The sequence below is a fragment of the Homo sapiens genome, chromosome 16, assembly GCF_000001405.40.
Source record: "Homo sapiens chromosome 16, GRCh38.p14 Primary Assembly".
Taxonomy (NCBI): domain Eukaryota; kingdom Metazoa; phylum Chordata; class Mammalia; order Primates; family Hominidae; genus Homo; species Homo sapiens.
This window is the reverse complement of record NC_000016.10, coordinates 70,434,456-70,451,941: the sequence shown is the minus strand read 5'-3', so window position 1 is coordinate 70,451,941 and position 17,486 is coordinate 70,434,456. Positions and strand designations below refer to the sequence as shown.

Here is a 17,486-nt window from a genome sequence, read left to right as displayed (position 1 = left end):
AGCCAGGATGGTCTTGATCTCCTGACCTCATGATGCACCCACCTCGGCCTCCCAAAGTGCTGGGATTACACGCATGAGCCACAGTGCCCGGCCGCCAATGGCCAATTTTTTAAATACAAAAATTAGCCAGGCGTGGTGGCAGGAGCCTGTAATTCAGTTATTCGGCAAGCTGAGTCAGGAGAGTCATTTGAAGCCAGGAGGCGGAAATTGCACTGAGCTGAGATCGTGCCACTGCACTCCAGCCTGGGTGACAGAGCGAGATTCTGTCTCAAAAAACAAATAAAATTTAAAAAAAAATAAATTTACAAAATAATGAGGCTGAGAGGCACTGAGGTCAGTCACAATGGAGATGGACCCTGCTCTAACTCTGTGTAACCATCTATAAAGTAAGTTAATAATAGTATCAAATATCTGAGATTGTTGTGAGGGTAGGATAAATGCTTGACTCCATAGTAAATACTCAAAAAGTATTAACCATTATGATTATCGTCATTATTCCCATCCTGCTCCATTAAAGCAGGATGTTTGGTTTGTTCACCATTGTATCCTCAGGCCTTAGAACAGTGCTGAGGACATGGTAGTGAGAGGTGACAGCGTGCTGGTAGTCCTCACAGCCCTCGTTCGCTCTCCGCGCCTCCTCTGCCTGGGCTCCCGCTTTGGCGGCACTTGAGGAGCCCTTCAGCCCACCGCTGCACTGCGGGAGCCCCTTTTTGGGCTGGCCAAGGCCGGAGCCGGCTCCCTCAGCTTGCAGGGAGGTGTGGAGGGAGAGGCGTGGGTGGGAACCGGGGCTGTGCGCGGTGCTTGCGGGCCAGTACGAGTTCCGGGTGGGTGTGGGCTTGGCGGGTCCGCACTCGGAGTAGCCGGCCGACCCTACCAGCCCCGGGCAATGAGGGGCTTAACACCCCGACCAGCGGCTGCAGAGGGTGTGCTGGGTCCCCCAGCAGTGCCGGCCCACTGGCGCTGCGCTCGATTTCTCGCCCGGCTTTAACTGCCTCCCCGCGGGGCAGGGCTCCGGACCTGCAGCCCGCCATGCCTGAGCCTCCCCAGCCACGCCGTGGGCTCCTGTGCCGCCAGAGCCTCCCCGACGAGCGCCGCTCCCTGCTCCACGGCGCCCAGTCCCATCGACCACCCAAGGGCTGAGGAGTGCGGGCGCAGGGCGCAGGACTGGCAAGCAGCTCCACCATGCAGCCCCAATGCGGGATCCACTGAGTGAAGCCAGCTGGGCTCCTGAGTCTGGTGGAGACGTGGAGAACCTTTATGTCCAGCTCAGGGATTGTAAATACACCAATGGGCACTCTGTATCTAGCTCAAGGTTTGTAAACACACCAATCAGCACCCTGTGTCTAGCTCAGCATTTGTGAGTGCACCAATCCACACTCTGTATCTAGCTACTCTGGTGGGGCCTTGGAGAACCTTTGTGTCGATACTCTGTATCTAACTAATCTGGTGGGGACGTGGAGAACCTTTGTGTCTAGCTCAGGGATTGTAAACACACCAATCAGCGCCCTGTCAAAACAGACCACTCAGCTCTACCAATCAACAGGATGTGGGTGGGGCCAGATAAGAGAATAAAAGCAGGTTGCGGAGCCAGCAGCGGCAACCTGCTAGGATCCCCTGTGGTATTGGGGAGGTCTTGTTATCTCGCTCTTGGCAATAAATCTTGCTGCTGCTTACTCTTTAGGTCCCCACTCCTTTTATGAGCTGTAACGCTCACCGCAAAGGTCTACAGCTTCTAGTCTTGACGCTAGCAAGACTAGGAGCCCACCGAGAGGAACCAACAACTCCCGACGCACTACCTTAAGAGCTGTAACTCTCACCGTGAAGGTCTGCAGCTTCACTCCTGAGCCAAGGAGACCACGAACCCACCAGAAGGAAGAAACTGAACACATCCGAACGTCAGAAGGAACAAACTCCAGACGCACCACCTTAAGAGCTGTAACACTCACGGCAAGGGTCCGTGGCTTCATTCTTGAAGTTAGTGAGACCAAGAACCCACCAATTCCGGACACAGTAGGTGGTTAAAAACAATTGATTGGCCAGGTGTGGTGGCCCACACCTATAATCCCAGCACTTTAGGAGGCCGAGGCAGGAAGATCACCTGAGGTCAGGAGTTCGAGACCAGCCTGGCCAACATGGTGAAATCCTCTCTCTACTAAAAATACAAAAATTAGTTGGGCATGGTGGTGGGTGCATGTAATCCCAGCTACTCAGGAGGCTGAGGCAGGAGAATCGCTGGAAGCCGGGAGGTGGAGGTTGCAGTGAGCTGGGATTGCACCACTGCACTCCAGCCTGAGCGACAGAGCGAGAGACTTTGTTTCAAAAAAAAAACCCAATTGGTTGAATGAATGAAGAGCAACCTTCTGCTCAGCTCTCGCCACCCACCTTCTCCTCACACTGTCTGCTTCCCTCAGTCTTCTCCCACTGGAGTCATTCTCCATCTACACTTGGCCCAGGTCTCATCCTCCTTCTCCCACTTCAATGCCTGCTGTTTCTTCTGTGAACCTAGGAGGCCTCCAGGGAGGTGATGAACTGCCTCTCACTGTTGCTGTTCTCAGCAATGCAGGTCCTGGGCTCTGCAGTGAAGTGGGAAGTAGGGATGCCTGCAACTGCGGGTTTGGTGGGGGCTCAAGAAAACAGTGTGCCCCCAAGGAGCTTAGAGGCCTTATGCTCCACCCTATACCTCCTAGGGCAGTATGGTTAGTAGAGGAGAGGTAGCTTCCAGGCTGCTCTGGCATCTCCTTGCCTGAGGAGCAAAGAAACTCAAGGAAGGTTTTTAGTAAAATGAAGCCCTCAGTGCAGCAGCAGACCCAAAAATCTGTACGTGGCCTCACCATCTGGGGTACACAGAGCCATTACACACACATACACACAAACTGTTATAAAATAAAGCACAGTCGGCCAGGCATGGTGGCTCATGCCTGTAATCCCAGCACTTTGAGAGGCTGAGGCGGTAGGATCACGAGGTCAGGAGTTCGAGACCAGCCTGGCCGACACGTAAAACCCATCTCTACTAAAAATACAAAAACTTAGCAGGGCATGGTGGTGGGCATCTATAATCCCAGCTACTCAGGAGGCTGAGGCAGGAGAATTGCTTGAAACCACGTGGTGGAGGTTGCAGTGAGCCGAGATCATGCCACTGCATTCCAGCTTTGGCAACAAGAGTGAAACTCCATCTCAAAAAAATAACAATAAAATAGAGCACAGTCGGACGGGCATGGTGGCTCATGCCTGTAATCCCAGTACTTTGGGAGGCCGAGGTGGGCATATCATTTGAGGTCAGGAGTTTGAGACCAGCCTGGCCAACATGGTGAAACCCTGTCTCTACTAAAAATACAAAAATTAGCTGGGCGTGCTGGCGCGTGCCTGTAATCCCAGCCACTCAGGAGGCTGAGGCAGGAGAATTGCTTGAATCCAGGAGGCAGGAGATGCAGTGAGTCAAGATCATGCCACTACACTCCAGCCTGGGTGACACAGCGAGACTCCATCTCAAAAAATAAAAAAGAACAGAGTCTAGTGATTAAATCCAAGGATTAAACTTAGACAAATCCGCTCAGCTGCCACGACTTTCTTTTTTTTTTCTTTTTCTTTTTTTCTCTCTTTTGAGACAGGGTCTCACTCTGTTGCCCAGTTTGGAGTGCAGTGGTGCAATCACGGCTCACAGCAGCCTCCAACCCCTGGGCTCAAGTGATCCTCCCAAGTAGCTGGGACTATAGGTGTGTGCAACCACACAGGGTCTTGCCATGTTGCCAAAGCTGGTCTCGAACAGCTGGGTTCAAGCAATCCTCCTGCCGTGGCTTCCCAAAGTACTGGGATTACAGGCATGAGCCACCACACTCAGCCCTTTAAAAACAATATTTTTTTTCTTATAGCATAGAGACTGGGTCTCACTACGTTGCTCAGGCTGGGTTTTTGTTTTTTTCTTGTTGTTGTTTTTTTATTTTATTTGAGATGGAGTCTCGCTCTGTCTCCCAGGCTGCAGTGCAGTGGCCCAATCTCGGCTCACTGCAGCCTCTGCCTCCCGGGTTCAAGTGATTCTCCTGCCTCAGCCTCCTGAGGATTACAGGCACATACCACCACACTTGGCTAATTTTTTTTTTTTTTGAGACAGAGTCTCACTCTGTCGCCCAGGCTGGAGTGCGGTGGCATGATCTTGGCTCACTGCAAGCTCCGCCTCCCGGGTTCATGCCATTCTCCTGCCTCAGCCTCCCGAGTAGCTGGGACTACAAGTGCCTGCCACCACGCCTGGCTAATTTTTTGTATTTTTAGTAGAGACGGGGTTTCACCGTGTTAGCCAGGATGGTCTCGATCTCCTGACCTCATGATCCGCCCGCCTCAGCCTCCCAAAGTGCTGGGATTACAGGCATGAGCCACCGCACCTGGCCAAACACATGGCTAATTTTTGTATTTTTAGTAGAGATGGGGTTTCATCATACTGGCCAGGCTGGCCTTGAACTCCTGAACTCAGGTGATTTGTCTGCTTCACCCTCCCAAAATTCTAGGATTATAGGCATGAGCCACCACTCTTGGCCTCCAGCCTGGTCTTGAACTCCTTGGCTCAAGCGATCCTCCCACCTTGGGCTCCAAAAGTGCTGGGATTACTGGTGTGAGCCACCACACCTGGCCTCTCATCACTTTCTAACCGTGCGAGCAAGCCACTCAACCTGTTTGAGCCCAACTTCCTTATCTGTGAGATTAAAATAGAATTTCCAAATTAGGTTGTTGGGAGGGTTTCATGAGCTAATGCACATAAAGGGTTTAGCGCAGTGCCTAATACAATGTAGGCATCCAAACTCCTTATTGTTAAACAAATGACCTACTGCCAGAATGTGAGGGTCCAGGTCTGGGAGGGAGGACTTTTTGGAGAAGGTGAAATCTTCAGGCCCCTGATGAGATGTGTGGCTGTTACTGGTAGCAGAAATTCCCTCTGGGAGCCAGAACTGCCCATAGGGATATTTTAGGTTGGGTGCCTAGATGCAGAGCCTGAGACAGGAATTCTTGTGTAAGCGACTTCCTAGGGGAGTGGGGAAAGCAGGATAGGGCAGGGAAAGAAACCAAGTAAAGATGTAAGTTCACCTAAATTTTGCCTCAATCTGATTGAACAGGGAGCTCTGGAGCATAAAATGCAATCCAGGCCAGGTGCAGTGGCTCACACCTGTAATCCCAGCATTTTGGGAGGCCGAGGCAGGCGGATCATCTGAGGGCAGGAGTTCCAGATCAGTCTGGCTGATATGGAGAAACCCCATCTCTACTTAAAATACAAAAAGTAGCCGAGCATGGTGGCATGTGCCTGTAATCCCAGCTACGTGGGAGGCTGAGGCAAAAGAATGGCTTGAACCTGGAGGGTGTACGATGCAGTGAGCTGAGATATCGCTACTGCACTTCAACCTGGGTGACAGAGCCAGACTCTGTATCCCCCCACCCCGCAAAAAAGCCAATTCCTTGGCACTGGAGGAAGAAAACTAAAAAAGAAAAAAAAAGGCCGGGCATGGTGTCTCCCATCTGTAATCCCAGAATTTTGGGATTAGGTGGCACAGATTTCCAGTTACACTAGCAGTGGATAAGAATGCCCCACACTCTTGCCAAGATAGTTATCAAGCTTTTTGATTGTTGCCAATCTGGTATGTGAAAAATGATATCTCAGTGTGGTGATTTTCATCTGCATTTGTTTTATTAAGAGTGATGTGGCTAGGTACAGTGGCTCACGCCTGTAATCCAAACACTTTGGGAGGCCAAGGCGGGCGGATCACGAGGTCAGGAGTTCGAGACCAGCTTGGCCAACATGGTGAAACCCCGTGTCTACTAAAAATACAAAAATTAGCTGGGCATGGTGGCAGGCACCTGTAATCCCAGCTACTCGGGAGGCTGAGGCAGGAGAATTGCTTGAACCTGGGAGGCGGAGGTTGCAGCGAGCCTAGATCACACCACTGCACTCCAGCCTGGGCAAAAGAGCAAGATTCTGTCCAAAAAAAAAAAAAAAAAAAGAAGGAGGAAGGACAACGAGAAGGAGAGGAAAGGGAAGGAGAAGGAGAAGGGTAAGGGGAAACTTGATGCTCCCTTTGCATCCCATTGAGGTACAGAGGGAAAAAAAAAAAAAAAGAAGAGTGATGCTCTGAGAAAATACCAAGTGTTAGGCTGGGTGCGGTGGCTCACGCCTGTAATCCCAGCACTTTGGGAGGCTGAGGCAGGGGGATCACCTGAGGTCAGGAGTTCAAGACCAGCCTGACCAACATGGAGAAACCCCGTCTCTACTAAAAATGCAAAAATTAGCAGAGCATGGTGGTGCATGCCTGTAATCCCAGCTACTCGGGAGGCTAAGGCAGGATAATCGCTTGAACCCAGGAGGTGGAGGTTGCGGTGAGCTGAGATCGTGCCATTGTACTCCAGCCGGGCAATAAGAGCGAAACTCTGTCTCAAATAAATAAATAAATAAGTGTTAGTGAAGGTGTGGAGAAATTGGAAGCCTGTCCACTGTTGGTGGGAGTGGAGAATGGTGCAGCAGATACGGGAAACAGTATGGTGCTCTTCAAAAAATTAACACTAGAGTGCTCGCTTCGGCAGCACATATTCTAAAATTGGAACGATACAGAGAAGATTAGTATGACCCCTGCGCAAGGATGACACGCAAATTCATGAAGCGTTCCATACTAAAAAAAAAAAAAAAAAATTGAAGGCCGGGCGCGGTGGCTCACACCTGTAATCCCAGCACTTTGGGAGGCCGAGGTAGGTGGACCACGAGGTCTGGAGTTCAAGACCAGCCTGACCAATATGGTGAAACCCCATCTCTACTAAAAATACAAAAATTAGCCGGGTGTGGTGGCATGTGCCTGTAATCCCAGCTACTCAGGAGGCTGAGGCAGGAGAATCGCTTGAACCCGGGAGATGGAAGTTGCAGTGAGCTGAGATTGCACCATTGCACTCCAGCCTGGGCAAAAGAGCAAGACTCCATCTCAAAAACAAAACAAAACAAAAAAAACACTAGAATTACTAGATCTGGACTGGACAGGCAGGGCTTGCGAAAGGATCAAGTCTTTGGCTACAGATTTATTACATCCGTCTTTGGAAGAGGAAAAGAAAAATCATAAAAGAAATGGCTAGTTCAAAGTCCAAATTCTTATTTTATGGTTGTAAAATGTTGAGATTGTCCCAAGATTACCATAGTTTTCAGCCATGCTCAGACAGTGGTTCTTTGTGTGGGTTGTTCAACAGTATCAGCCTACAGAAGGAAAGCCCAGACTCACAGAGGGTGTTCACTTAGAGGAAAGCAACACAAATGGAGTGATCCACACCACTTCCTGAATCTGTGTTATCTCACAGAAAGCCTTATCATAAGTCTAGCAATTCTAATTCATCTACCAAGATAATGTATTCATAATTATGTTTGATTTTGCAAAGTATACAATAGTGATCTATTTTGGTGTCCATTTTCCAATAAAGATTATGAGCAAAAAAAAAAATTACTATATGATCCAGCAATTTCACTTGATCTGTTGCCCAGGCTAGCGTGCAGTGGCACAATCATGGTTCACTGCAGCCTGGACCTCCCAGACTAAATTGATCCTCCTGCTTCAGCCTCACAAATAGCAGGGACTACAGGCATGCATCACCACGCCTGATTAGTTTTTACCCAGCCAAAAAATCATTTTATTATGGAAACTTCAAATATATTCAAAGATGAAAAATTGTTATAATTAATTAACCCAGAGAAACTACTCATCCCCTCTTTTTTTTTTTTTTTTTTTTGGAGATAGAGTCTCGTTCTGTTGCCCAGGCTGGAGTGCAGTGGTACGATCTCTGCTCACTGCAACCTCTGCCTCCTGGGTTCAAGCCATTCTCCTGCCTCAGCCTCCCAAGTAGCTGGGATTACAGCCATGTGACACTATGCCCGGCTAATTTTTGTATTTTTAGTAGAGACAGGGTTTCGCCTTGTTGGCCAGGCTGGTCTCAAACTCATGACCTCAAGTGATCTGCCTGCTTCGGCCTCCCAAAGTCCTGGGATTATGGGTGTGAGCCACCATGCGTGGCCTCATCTCTTCTATAATTATCAATTTAACCAACCTTGTTGTATCTATACCTATACCTCAAACCTGGATTATTTTGAAGCAAAAATTGAGAACAAGACCCTGTCTCGAAGAAAAAAAGAAAATAGACAACACAATTGAAAGCAGGAGCTCAAAGAGATATTTGTACACTCATGTTCATAGCAGTAGTATTTAAAGTAGCCAAGAGCTACAAACAACCCATCATTGACAGATGAATGAATAAAGAAAACGTGGTATGTACATATAATAGAGTATTATCCAGCTTTACAAAGGAAGGAAATTCTGACATATGCTACAATATGGATGAACCTTGTGGACATTATGCTAAGTAGAATATGCTGGTCACAAGAGGACAAGTACTGTATGATTGCACATTTCCTATTAGCTACTTGGTACATTTTCTTTTATTTTTTGAGAGACAAGGGTCTTGCTCTGTCATGCAGGCTGGAGTGCAGTGGCACAATCCAGCTACTCGGGAAGCTGAGGCAGGCTGTCGCACAAGCTGGGGTGCAGTGGTGCGATCTTGGCTCACGGCAACCTCTGCCCCCAGGGTTGAAGTGATTCTCCTGCCTCAGCCTCCCGAGTAGCTGGGATTACAGACACCCGCCACCATGTCCGGCTAACTTATGTATTTTTAGTAGGGAGAGGGTTTCACCATGTTGGCCAGGCTGGTCTCAAACTCCTGACCTTAAGTGATCTGCCTGCCTCAGCCTTCCAAAGTGCTAGGATTACAGGCATGAGCCTCCTTGCCCAGTCAAAAAAGACATTAAAAAAAAAAAAAAAAAAAGGCCCAGAGCAGTGGCTCATGCCTGTAATCCCAGCATTTTGGGAGGCTGAGGCTGGCGGATCACAAGGTCAACAGATAGAGACCATCCTGGTCAACGAGGTGAAACCCTGTCTCTACTAAAAATACAAAAATTAGCTGGGCATGGTGGTGCGTGCCAGTAGTTCCAGCTCGGGAGGCTGAGGTGGAAGGATCCCTTGAGCCCAGGAGTTCGAGGATGCAGTGAGCCATGATCACACCACTGCACTCCAGCCTGGGTGAGACAGCAAAACCTAGTCTCTAAAAAGAAAAAAAAAAGGTGGTAAGAACAGATTTTAATTTGTAATATACTATTGCAATAGGGAAGAGGGTCCAGCGTGAACTTGGCCCAACTTTGATTTGTACAGAAGTGACTGGGAATTTAAATTTATTTTTTAGAGATGGGGTCTTGTTACGCTGCCCAGGCTGGTCTCAAACTCCTGTCCTCATGTGATCCTGCCACTTCGGCCTCTAGAGTAGCTGGGATTACAGGCACAAGCCAGTGAGTCTGGCAAGATAACTTGTGTTTTTTGTTTGTTTTGTGACAGAGTCTTGCTCTGTTGCCCAGGCTGGAGTGCAGTGGTGCGATCTCAGCTCATTGCAACCTCAGCTCATTGCAACCTCTGCCTCCCAGGTTCAAGTGATTCTCCTGCGTCAGCCGCCCAAGCAGCTGGAACTACAGGCACCCACCACTGCACCTGGCTAATTTTTTGTATTTTTTGCATTTTTTTTTTTTTTGAGACGGAGTCTCGCTCTGTCGTCCAGGCTGGAGTGCAGTGGTGTGATCTCAGCTCACTGCAAGCTCCACCTCCCGAGTTCACACCATTCTCCTGCCTCAGCCTCCTGAGTAGCTGGGACTACAGGTGCCCGCCACCAGGCCCGACTAATTTTTTTTGTATTTTTAGTAGAGACAGGGTTTCACCGTGTTAGCCAGGATGGTCTCGATCTCCTGACCTCATGATCTGCCCGCCTTGGCCTCCCAAAGTGCTGGGATTACAGGCATGAGCCACTGCGCCCGGCCCTAATTTTTTGTATTTTTAGTAGAGATGGGCTTTCAACATGTTGGCCAGGCTGGTCTCGAACTCCTGACCTCAAGTGCTCCGCCTACCTCGGCCTTCCAAAATGCTGGGATTACACGTGTGAGCCACTGTTCCTGGCCTAGTTGTGTTTTAAAGTGGATGAAGGAGTAGGGAAGGTGGCAAGCAGGGGTTCGGTAGAGTCAGGGACATGAAAAATTGCAAAGGATTGGTCAATGTACAGCTCTGTCCACTAGCTGGCAATTATCAAAGTTAGGATTCTGTCCTCCCACAAAGAGGCCTTATCCTTCAGGATGACGACATTCAAGGAATGGCTTTCAGGTCCTTGAGAAAGACACTCTTGAGTTGTAGAAGATACTTACACATCTCAAAGGATCAGATAAGGAATTCACAATTGTGAGCCCTTTTTAGTAAATGCTCTGAGAAAGTGTAGTCAGAGCCTATGATTGGGTGTCGCCTGGAACAGTAAATTCTTTCGGCAGTGGTGCGCCTTCTCAGGCAGGCACTTTAAGGTGGGTTTGGGTCATCCCAGGATGTGACCTTGAGCTGTTAGAAACTATATTACTGTTTAAGTCTCTTTTTTTTTTTGAGACGGATTCTTGCTCTGTTGTCCAGGCTGGAGTGCAGTGGTGCAATCTCTGCTCACTGCAACCTCCACCTCCTGGGTTCAAGCAATTCTCTGCCTCAGCCTCCCCAGTAGCTAGGATTACAGGCGCCTGCCACCACGCCCCGCTAATTTTTTGTATTTTCAGTAGAGACGGAGTTTCACCATCTTGGCCAGGCTGGAAGAGTTCAGGCCACCCCTGAACTCCAGACCTTGTGATCCACCCGCCTCGGCCTCCCAAAGTGCTGGGATTACAGGCATGAGCCATGGCGCCCAGCCTTCTTTTCTTTTTTATAAAGAGAGACAGGGTTTTTCCACGTTGCCTAGGCTGGTCTCAAACTCCTAAGCTCAGACAATCTACATGCCTAGGCCTCCTAAAGTGCTGCGATTACAGGCGTGAGCCACTGTGACCCGCCTCTGTAGAAGCCTTTTAATGTGGAGGGAGGAGGGTGGGTAAAATCACTTGTGTTGAGAGTCTGCCGGTGTTTTGTTTGTTTGTTTGTTTGTTTGTTTGTTTTTGAGACGGAGTCTTGCTCTGCCGGCCAGGCTGGAGTGCAGTGGCGCGACGTTGGCTCACTGAAACCTCCATCCCCCCGGATTCAAGTGATTCTCCTGCCTCAGCCTCCTGAGTAGCTGGGATTACAGGCGCCTGCCACCATGCCCGGCTAATTTTTATATTTTTAGTAGAGACGGAGTTTCACCATCTTGGCCAGGCTGGTCTTGAACTCCTGACCTCATGATCCACCTGCCTCAGCCTCCCAAAGTGCTGGGATTACAGGTGTGAGCCACCACGCCTGGCCCTTTTTTGTTTAAGACAGAGTCTCACTCTGTTGCCCAGGCTGGAGTGCAATGGCATGATCTCAGCTCACTGTAACCTCCAACTCCCAGATTCAAGCAATTCTCGTGCCTCAGCCTCCCAAGTAGCTGGGATTACAGGCACGCACTACCACACCCAGCTAATTTTTGCATTTTTGGTAGAGACAGGGTTTTGCCATGTTGGTCAGGCTGGTCTTAACTCCTGGCCTCATGTGATCCACCTGCCTCAGCCTCCCAAAGTGCTGGGGTCGTGATGACATCACTGCACTCCAGCCTGGGCGACAGTGAGACCTTGAGCAAAAACAAAGAGCGTTCCTGTGCTAAAGGGGACTAGACTGGGACCCTGCCTTTCCGGGTTTGGCTCTTCAGGGCCATTATTAATTATCCCACACAAGGGCCATCCTTGAAAGAGGATACCGGTGTGTTAGCAGCAAACACCAACAGCAGAGGTTATCAGGTTATCAAGGTAGTAACCGGCAGCATGAGCAACACCTGGAGACGGGGTAGCAATGCCAATTCTGGGGCCTGCCCTAGAGCTAAAAGAACCAGAAGCTGAGGGTGGGGGCAGCAATCTGCGTTTAAACAAGCTGGCCAAGAGGATCCCATACACACCAAAAATTCAGAACCACTTCAGCCTCACTTCAGCCTGTTGGAGGGCGAAACTGCAGTCTACCTGGAGTTTCATAAAGGTTTTGAAATAGGTGCGGAAGTTAGGGAAAGGATGGGCTAATAAAAGACATGGCAAATATTTAAAATGCATTCACTTTACCCTCAACAGCAGGAAGCTACGGGCATCTAAGAGAGAGCCTGCAAGGGGGAGATGCCCCGGTGGATGAGGAACCAATAGACACTCTGCCCCCTTTTCCTCTTTTCCTAGGTGGGGAACACAAAGTCCAGCGAGGCCAAACCCCCGCTCGCACCGCTGATGGGGTCTCTCTCCCCTCAGGCCAGGGCGCAGCGGCCCCACCGCAGCTCGGGCTTTCAGAGCCCGGGCGTGAAGCCAAGCTGGCCTCAGGTCGCGGCTCTTTGAGAGCGCGAGTGGGAACAGTGCCCTCCGGCCGGGCTCGTCAGCAGCTGGCCACAGCAGCATCTGAGAGGCGTCCTCGGCTAGTGTGCACCTCCCTAGGAACCCACGTATCCAACCCGGCTCGGGGCCGTCTGCTCCAGCCGCTGGAGCCCGGCCTTCTGAGAATGAAGACTTCCCATCCCCCTCCGTCTCCCCTCCTGCACGGCGGACCCCCTGAGCCCTAGCGAAACTACAAAGCCCACAATCCCTGGGATGCGCGCGCTGTCTTCTGGGAGATGTAGTCCTGGATGCGGGGCGCCCCTAGCGACCCAGCGCCCGCTGGACTCCATATCCCAGCATGCCGGCGCGCGTGCGGGGGGCGGAGGGAGGGAGAGACGGGGAGGATGTGAATGGGGTGGGGGCAGTCGCCCCTGTCCCCCACCCTTCCCTTCAAGCCGGGCAGGGGTGGGGGGAGGGGCCGGGCTGAGGCGGCGGCGGCGGCGGCGCTCGGGGAGGGTTGGGCCAGGCAAGGGCGGGACTAGCCCACGGCGGGCGGACGAGAGAGCTGCGAGCTAACGGGTCCGGACGACGGCGGCGGCGGCGGCGGCGGCGGCGACGGCTTTCTGCGCGGGCGGCGGCGGCGGCCGGAGCGGCGAGCATGGCCCGCGCGGCGCCGGGCGCTGACTGAGGTGCGCGGGTGGGATGAGGGCGGGCGGGATGCAGAGCGCCCCGGGCCCCCGGCTGCCCAGACCTCCCCTGCGCGGGCAGCTGGCGCGGCCCAGCGGCCCAGACCGGCCCGTTCCAGCCCGGCAACTTCCCCCGGGTCGGGGCGCCGGGCTCCCTCGTGTGGGCGGGGGTCCGCGCGCGTTGGCCTCATTCCGGATCCCCGCCTTCTGCTTTGCACGTCCAGCCGCTCCCAGCCTCCCAGGGCTCCCGCTCCGCTCCTTTGCCGGCAGCCCCCAACCCCAACCCCAGCCCCAGCCCCAGCCCTCGGAAGAGCTCTCTGCCCTGGTCCCGACTTCCAGTCCACTCCCTAGTTCGTACCGCTAACCCTGGGTCTCCCGGCCTCTGCTCCACCTGGGAGACCCCGGCCCCACTCTTGGCCAGAGCCTGTCTGCCCCATCAGCTCCTCTTTCCTCTCTCCCCTGTGATCTTTCCCCTACCTGGCACTGCCCCCTAACCATCCTCAGTGGCCCAGTTCTCACGGCTCGACCTTCCTACTTTGGGGAAACTGAGGCACGGCTGAAGCCAGAAACTTGGCCAAAGCGCCAGTCCCGTGGAGGCTGGTCTGAACCTCGTCTCTCCTCTCTCCTGTTCCTTCTCTGCCTTGGAATGGAAGTCATTTCTTACCCCCAGTCATTCCCCTGTGACTGGACCAAACTTCCCACCCCCTGCTACAGCTCTGGGCTGAGCTCACTTGAGTCTCCCCTTAGCTTCCTGCCGCTCCTGTTGGCCTTCCCTCCTTCGCATAACCCACTCCGGGTTCCCTCTGCCTGTAGAGGAGTCAGCACCAATTGCTTGCTTGCTCAAGTTAGCCTTTCGATTTATCTTTTGCCAACTGCATCCATCTCCCGTCTCCCATCTTCCCTCTTGCTTTACAGCTGCGTAAAGGAGCGGAGGATTGAGTCAAAGGTGGTGTTGGAGAAAGGGGCTAGAGAGGTGCTGGGGGCAGGCAGGGACCTGGGGCCTCTTTTCAGTCAAAGCCTCCGGGGGAGTACAGGGCACTCTGGGACCTCTGGCCAGTAACACACTCCCGCCTCGTCTTTGGGACGGATGTTTGGAAGCTGGTTGGCCACCCCTTCCTTGCCTGGTGGGCTCTGAAGCCCTTCTCAGGTGGAAGGTATCGCTGGTTTTTAGAGAGATGGTGGCATAAGAGGAGTCTGGGAGACCACACCCCTAAGCTTCATCTTGCTTCTGCTGCTAACTTTGGAGGGGTTGCCCTTTCAGGGAGGGATGCCTGCTGGCTGCCCTGATCTCTCTGTGGAGGAAGGCACAGAGTATGTGGGCGGTGATCTCAAGTTTAGTCGTGGGACTCAGGATTTAGAGGGAACGAGGGCTCAGAGAGGTGGCACAGATTTGCCTGTATTATTCAGGTTTTTTGTTTTGTCCTCTTCAGATTTTTTTTTTTTTGCGGGGGGGGCAGAGGGGGATAGTCATCCATTCTACCCCAATCCCCAGTTTCCCAGTGGGTTGGGTGGAGGAAAGGAGGGACAGGAGGCTCTAGGAGTTATGTGGGTTCCTGAAGGAGCAATCTTGATCTGAACCAGATGGTTCACTGCTTCAGCAACCCCCTTCCCAGCCCTCCCCCTTGGCTGTGAATTGGATGCTTTTAACCTTGTAACTTGAGAATGGAGGAAGGGAGGCCAGGGGGCCAACTGTCTGTGTGGGTGTTTATGTCTGCCTCTGCACCCTTGCTTGCAAGTCTGGCAGGGGCCTGTGGGAGTGACCCTGCCTGGGAGCGCATTGTTGTGATGTGCTGTGGCACGCTGATGGCTCCTGGGAACTTTTGGAGTGCAAATCCCAGATAAAGCCAAGCTTCTGAGAGCCACTGGCTATGGCCTCAGGGGAGCATTTCTACTCCGGCCAAGCCTCAGGGTAAGGACCACTCTTCTCGAGAAGGCACCTGGGATTAAGGAGTCTGCAATACCAGGATTGGGGATTTGGGGAGGCTTGGTTTTTCCATGTCTTTTCATGGCAAAAGAAGACCTGAGGGGTAGGGCCTGGGGAGAGGGGTGGGAAATGGATTATTTTGCGTTGTCCTATACCACATCCTGCCTTATTTTGGCCATATTTGTATACTTCATTTTGGCTCTCATTAGACTGTGGATGCTCTTCAAATGTGTCCTCATTTTCTGAAATACCACCACCTGGCTTGGTCCTTAGCACCTAGTGGGTGTTCAGTAAATGAATTACAGCGGAAGGTCTCATGGTTACAGGTTTAGGGAAGGATTCTTCACATTTGACTGAGAGTCATAGTCTCCTGGAGAGCTGGTTAAGGCACAGATTGTGTGTGTGTGAGGGGACTCCAGAGTTTTATGGTTTAATCTTGGTGGAGCCTATATTTTGCATCTCTCTCCAGCTCCCTAGGGCTAACACTTTGAGAACCACTGGTTTGGGGTCATCACAATTTCTTGAGAGATTAATCCAAGCAGATGCGAAGTCTTTTTTTTTTTTTTTTTCTTTTTTTGAGACGAAGTCTCACTCTGTTGCCCAGGCTGGAGTGCAGTGGCATGATCTCGGCTCACTGCAGCCTCTGCCTCCAGGGTTCAAGCAATTCTCTTGTCTCGGCCTTGTTGGCCACCCCTTCCTGGGGTGACAGGAACCTAGGATTACAGGCATACGCCACGACACCCCGCTACTTTTTGTATTTTTAGTAGAGACGGGGTTTCACCATGTTTGCCAGACTGGTTTCGAACTCCTGACCTCAGGTGATCCGCCCGCCTTGGCCTCCCAAAGTGCTGGGATTACAGGCGTGAGTCACCGCTCCTGGCCAGATGTCTTTTTTTTTTTTTGAGATAGAGTCTTGCTCTGTCACCCAGGCTGGAGTGCAGTGGTGTGATCTCAGCTCACTGCAACCTCCGCCTCCCAGGTTCAGGCTATTCTCCTGCCTCAGCCTCCCAAGTAGCTGGGATTATAGGTATCTGCCACCATGCCCGGCTGATTTTTGTATTTGTAGTAGAGATGGGGTTTCTTCATGTTGGCCAGGCTGGTCTCGAACTCCTGACCTCAGGTGCTCCGCCCGCCTCAGCTTCCCACTGTTGGGATTAGAGGCGTGAGCTACTCCGCCCAGCTAGATGTAGTCTTTTTTATTTTATTTTATTTTATTTTATTTTATTTTATTTTGAGACGAGGTTTCCCTCTTGTTGCCCAGGCTGGAGTGCAATGGCGAGATCTCGGCTCACTGCAACCTCTGCCTCCCAGGTTCAAGCGATTCTCCTGTCTCAGCCTCTGGAATAGCTGGGATTACAGGCATGCACCACCATGCCCGGCTAATTTTTGTATTTTTTTAAAATTTATTTTATTTTTTATTTTATTTTTTGAGATAGAGTTTCACTCTTGTTGCCCAGGCTGGAATGCAATGGCACGATGTCGGCTCACCGCAACCTCCACCTCCCGGGTTCAAGTAATTCTCCTGACTCAGCCTCCCAAGTAGCTGGGATTACAGGCATGCGCCACCACGCCCATCTAATTTTTTTGTATTTTTAGTAGAGATGGAGTTTCTCCATGTTGGTCAGGCTGGTCTCAAACTCCTGACCTCAGGTGATCCGCCCGCTGGAGCCTCCGAAAGTGCTGGGATTACAGGCGTGAACCACTGCGCCCAGCCAGCTAGATGTAAAGTCTTAAGAGGGACTTTCTTCCACCTTACTTCCCCACCAGGCTGTTCTGGCAGCTGTACTGGTTTGGCTTTTCTTTCATTCTGATGTTGCCCAGGATTGGTAATGACTGGGGGGACACTGCCCCACGGTTATTTGAAGCAAGGCCCCACAACCAAGCAGGAAATTTAGGAGCCATGGCTTTGGAAAAGGGTGGCTGTGTGAAGATATCGAAGCAAATTGCTGAACCGGGCCCTCGTCTGGCCTGTGCCTGTTTCCCCAACCAAGTGGGTTGGGGTGCCTGCCAAGTAAAGTCCTGCCATGGCTGCACACTGGACAGGATACCTGGGAGTCTTTGAAATTTAGAAATGCAGGAGGCATCACTTACATTGTGCTTTGCAAAGCATTTTCCAACTGTTGTTTTACAGGTCAGTGGAACATTTATAAGGCAGATACAGACCCAGGTAGGGTTACTGAGGAACCCAGAGATACACTGTGGGTCACACAGTGGCCCTGGGACTCCTGATTCCAGTGCCAACGGAGTGGCTGCTAAACCAGTTGCTGCTAATAGCCTGAATTATGGCTGCTGTTCATTGAGTGCTTGCTGCCAGCCAGGCATGGTGCTAGATGCTCTCAGGTGTTAGTGAATCCTCACAGCAGCACTGCAAGGTGGGTGTTGTTGCCGCTGCTTTGTAGATGAAGAACTGAGACTTACAGAACTTACCAGATGTGCCCAAACAGACAGCAGGAGGATCTGGGGTTGAAACTCATGTCTTTCTGATGCACAGCCCCTGCTCTTAGTTCCTGCTCCTTGATGTGCTCAACAAACCTTAATTGTCCTTTGGGGTTGTCTGCCCCCAAAAGTCTGA

At 51.5% G+C, this 17,486-nt stretch overlaps 1 protein-coding gene and 2 pseudogenes across 1 annotated transcript in view, besides 3 other annotated features; all 3 read left to right on the top strand.

Annotated features, from left to right (window-relative positions):
* Positions 6,543-6,644, top strand: RNU6-23P (RNA, U6 small nuclear 23, pseudogene; annotated as a pseudogene).
* RPS27P26 (ribosomal protein S27 pseudogene 26) lies at positions 7,030-7,268 on the top strand (annotated as a pseudogene).
* Positions 12,691-12,870: a silencer, noted in NCBI's record as "silent region_7673". NCBI's record gives its function as "represses an Ori minimal core promoter by ATAC-STARR-seq in GM12878 lymphoblastoid cells {active_cell/tissue: GM12878}" and the evidence as "EXISTENCE:reporter gene assay evidence [ECO:0000049][PMID:35858748]".
* The window catches only part of ST3GAL2 (ST3 beta-galactoside alpha-2,3-sialyltransferase 2), a 63,124-nt gene continuing 58,479 nt past the window's right edge, over positions 12,842-17,486 (top strand). Inside the window, exon 1 of the mRNA NM_006927.4 lies at positions 12,842-12,993. The gene's annotated coding sequence lies outside the window, so the exon portion shown is untranslated. The remainder of the gene's footprint in view (positions 12,994-17,486) is intronic.
* Positions 12,971-13,170: a silencer, noted in NCBI's record as "silent region_7672". NCBI's record gives its function as "represses an Ori minimal core promoter by ATAC-STARR-seq in GM12878 lymphoblastoid cells {active_cell/tissue: GM12878}" and the evidence as "EXISTENCE:reporter gene assay evidence [ECO:0000049][PMID:35858748]".
* Positions 14,711-14,890: an enhancer, noted in NCBI's record as "active region_11063". NCBI's record gives its function as "activates an Ori minimal core promoter by ATAC-STARR-seq in GM12878 lymphoblastoid cells {active_cell/tissue: GM12878}" and the evidence as "EXISTENCE:reporter gene assay evidence [ECO:0000049][PMID:35858748]".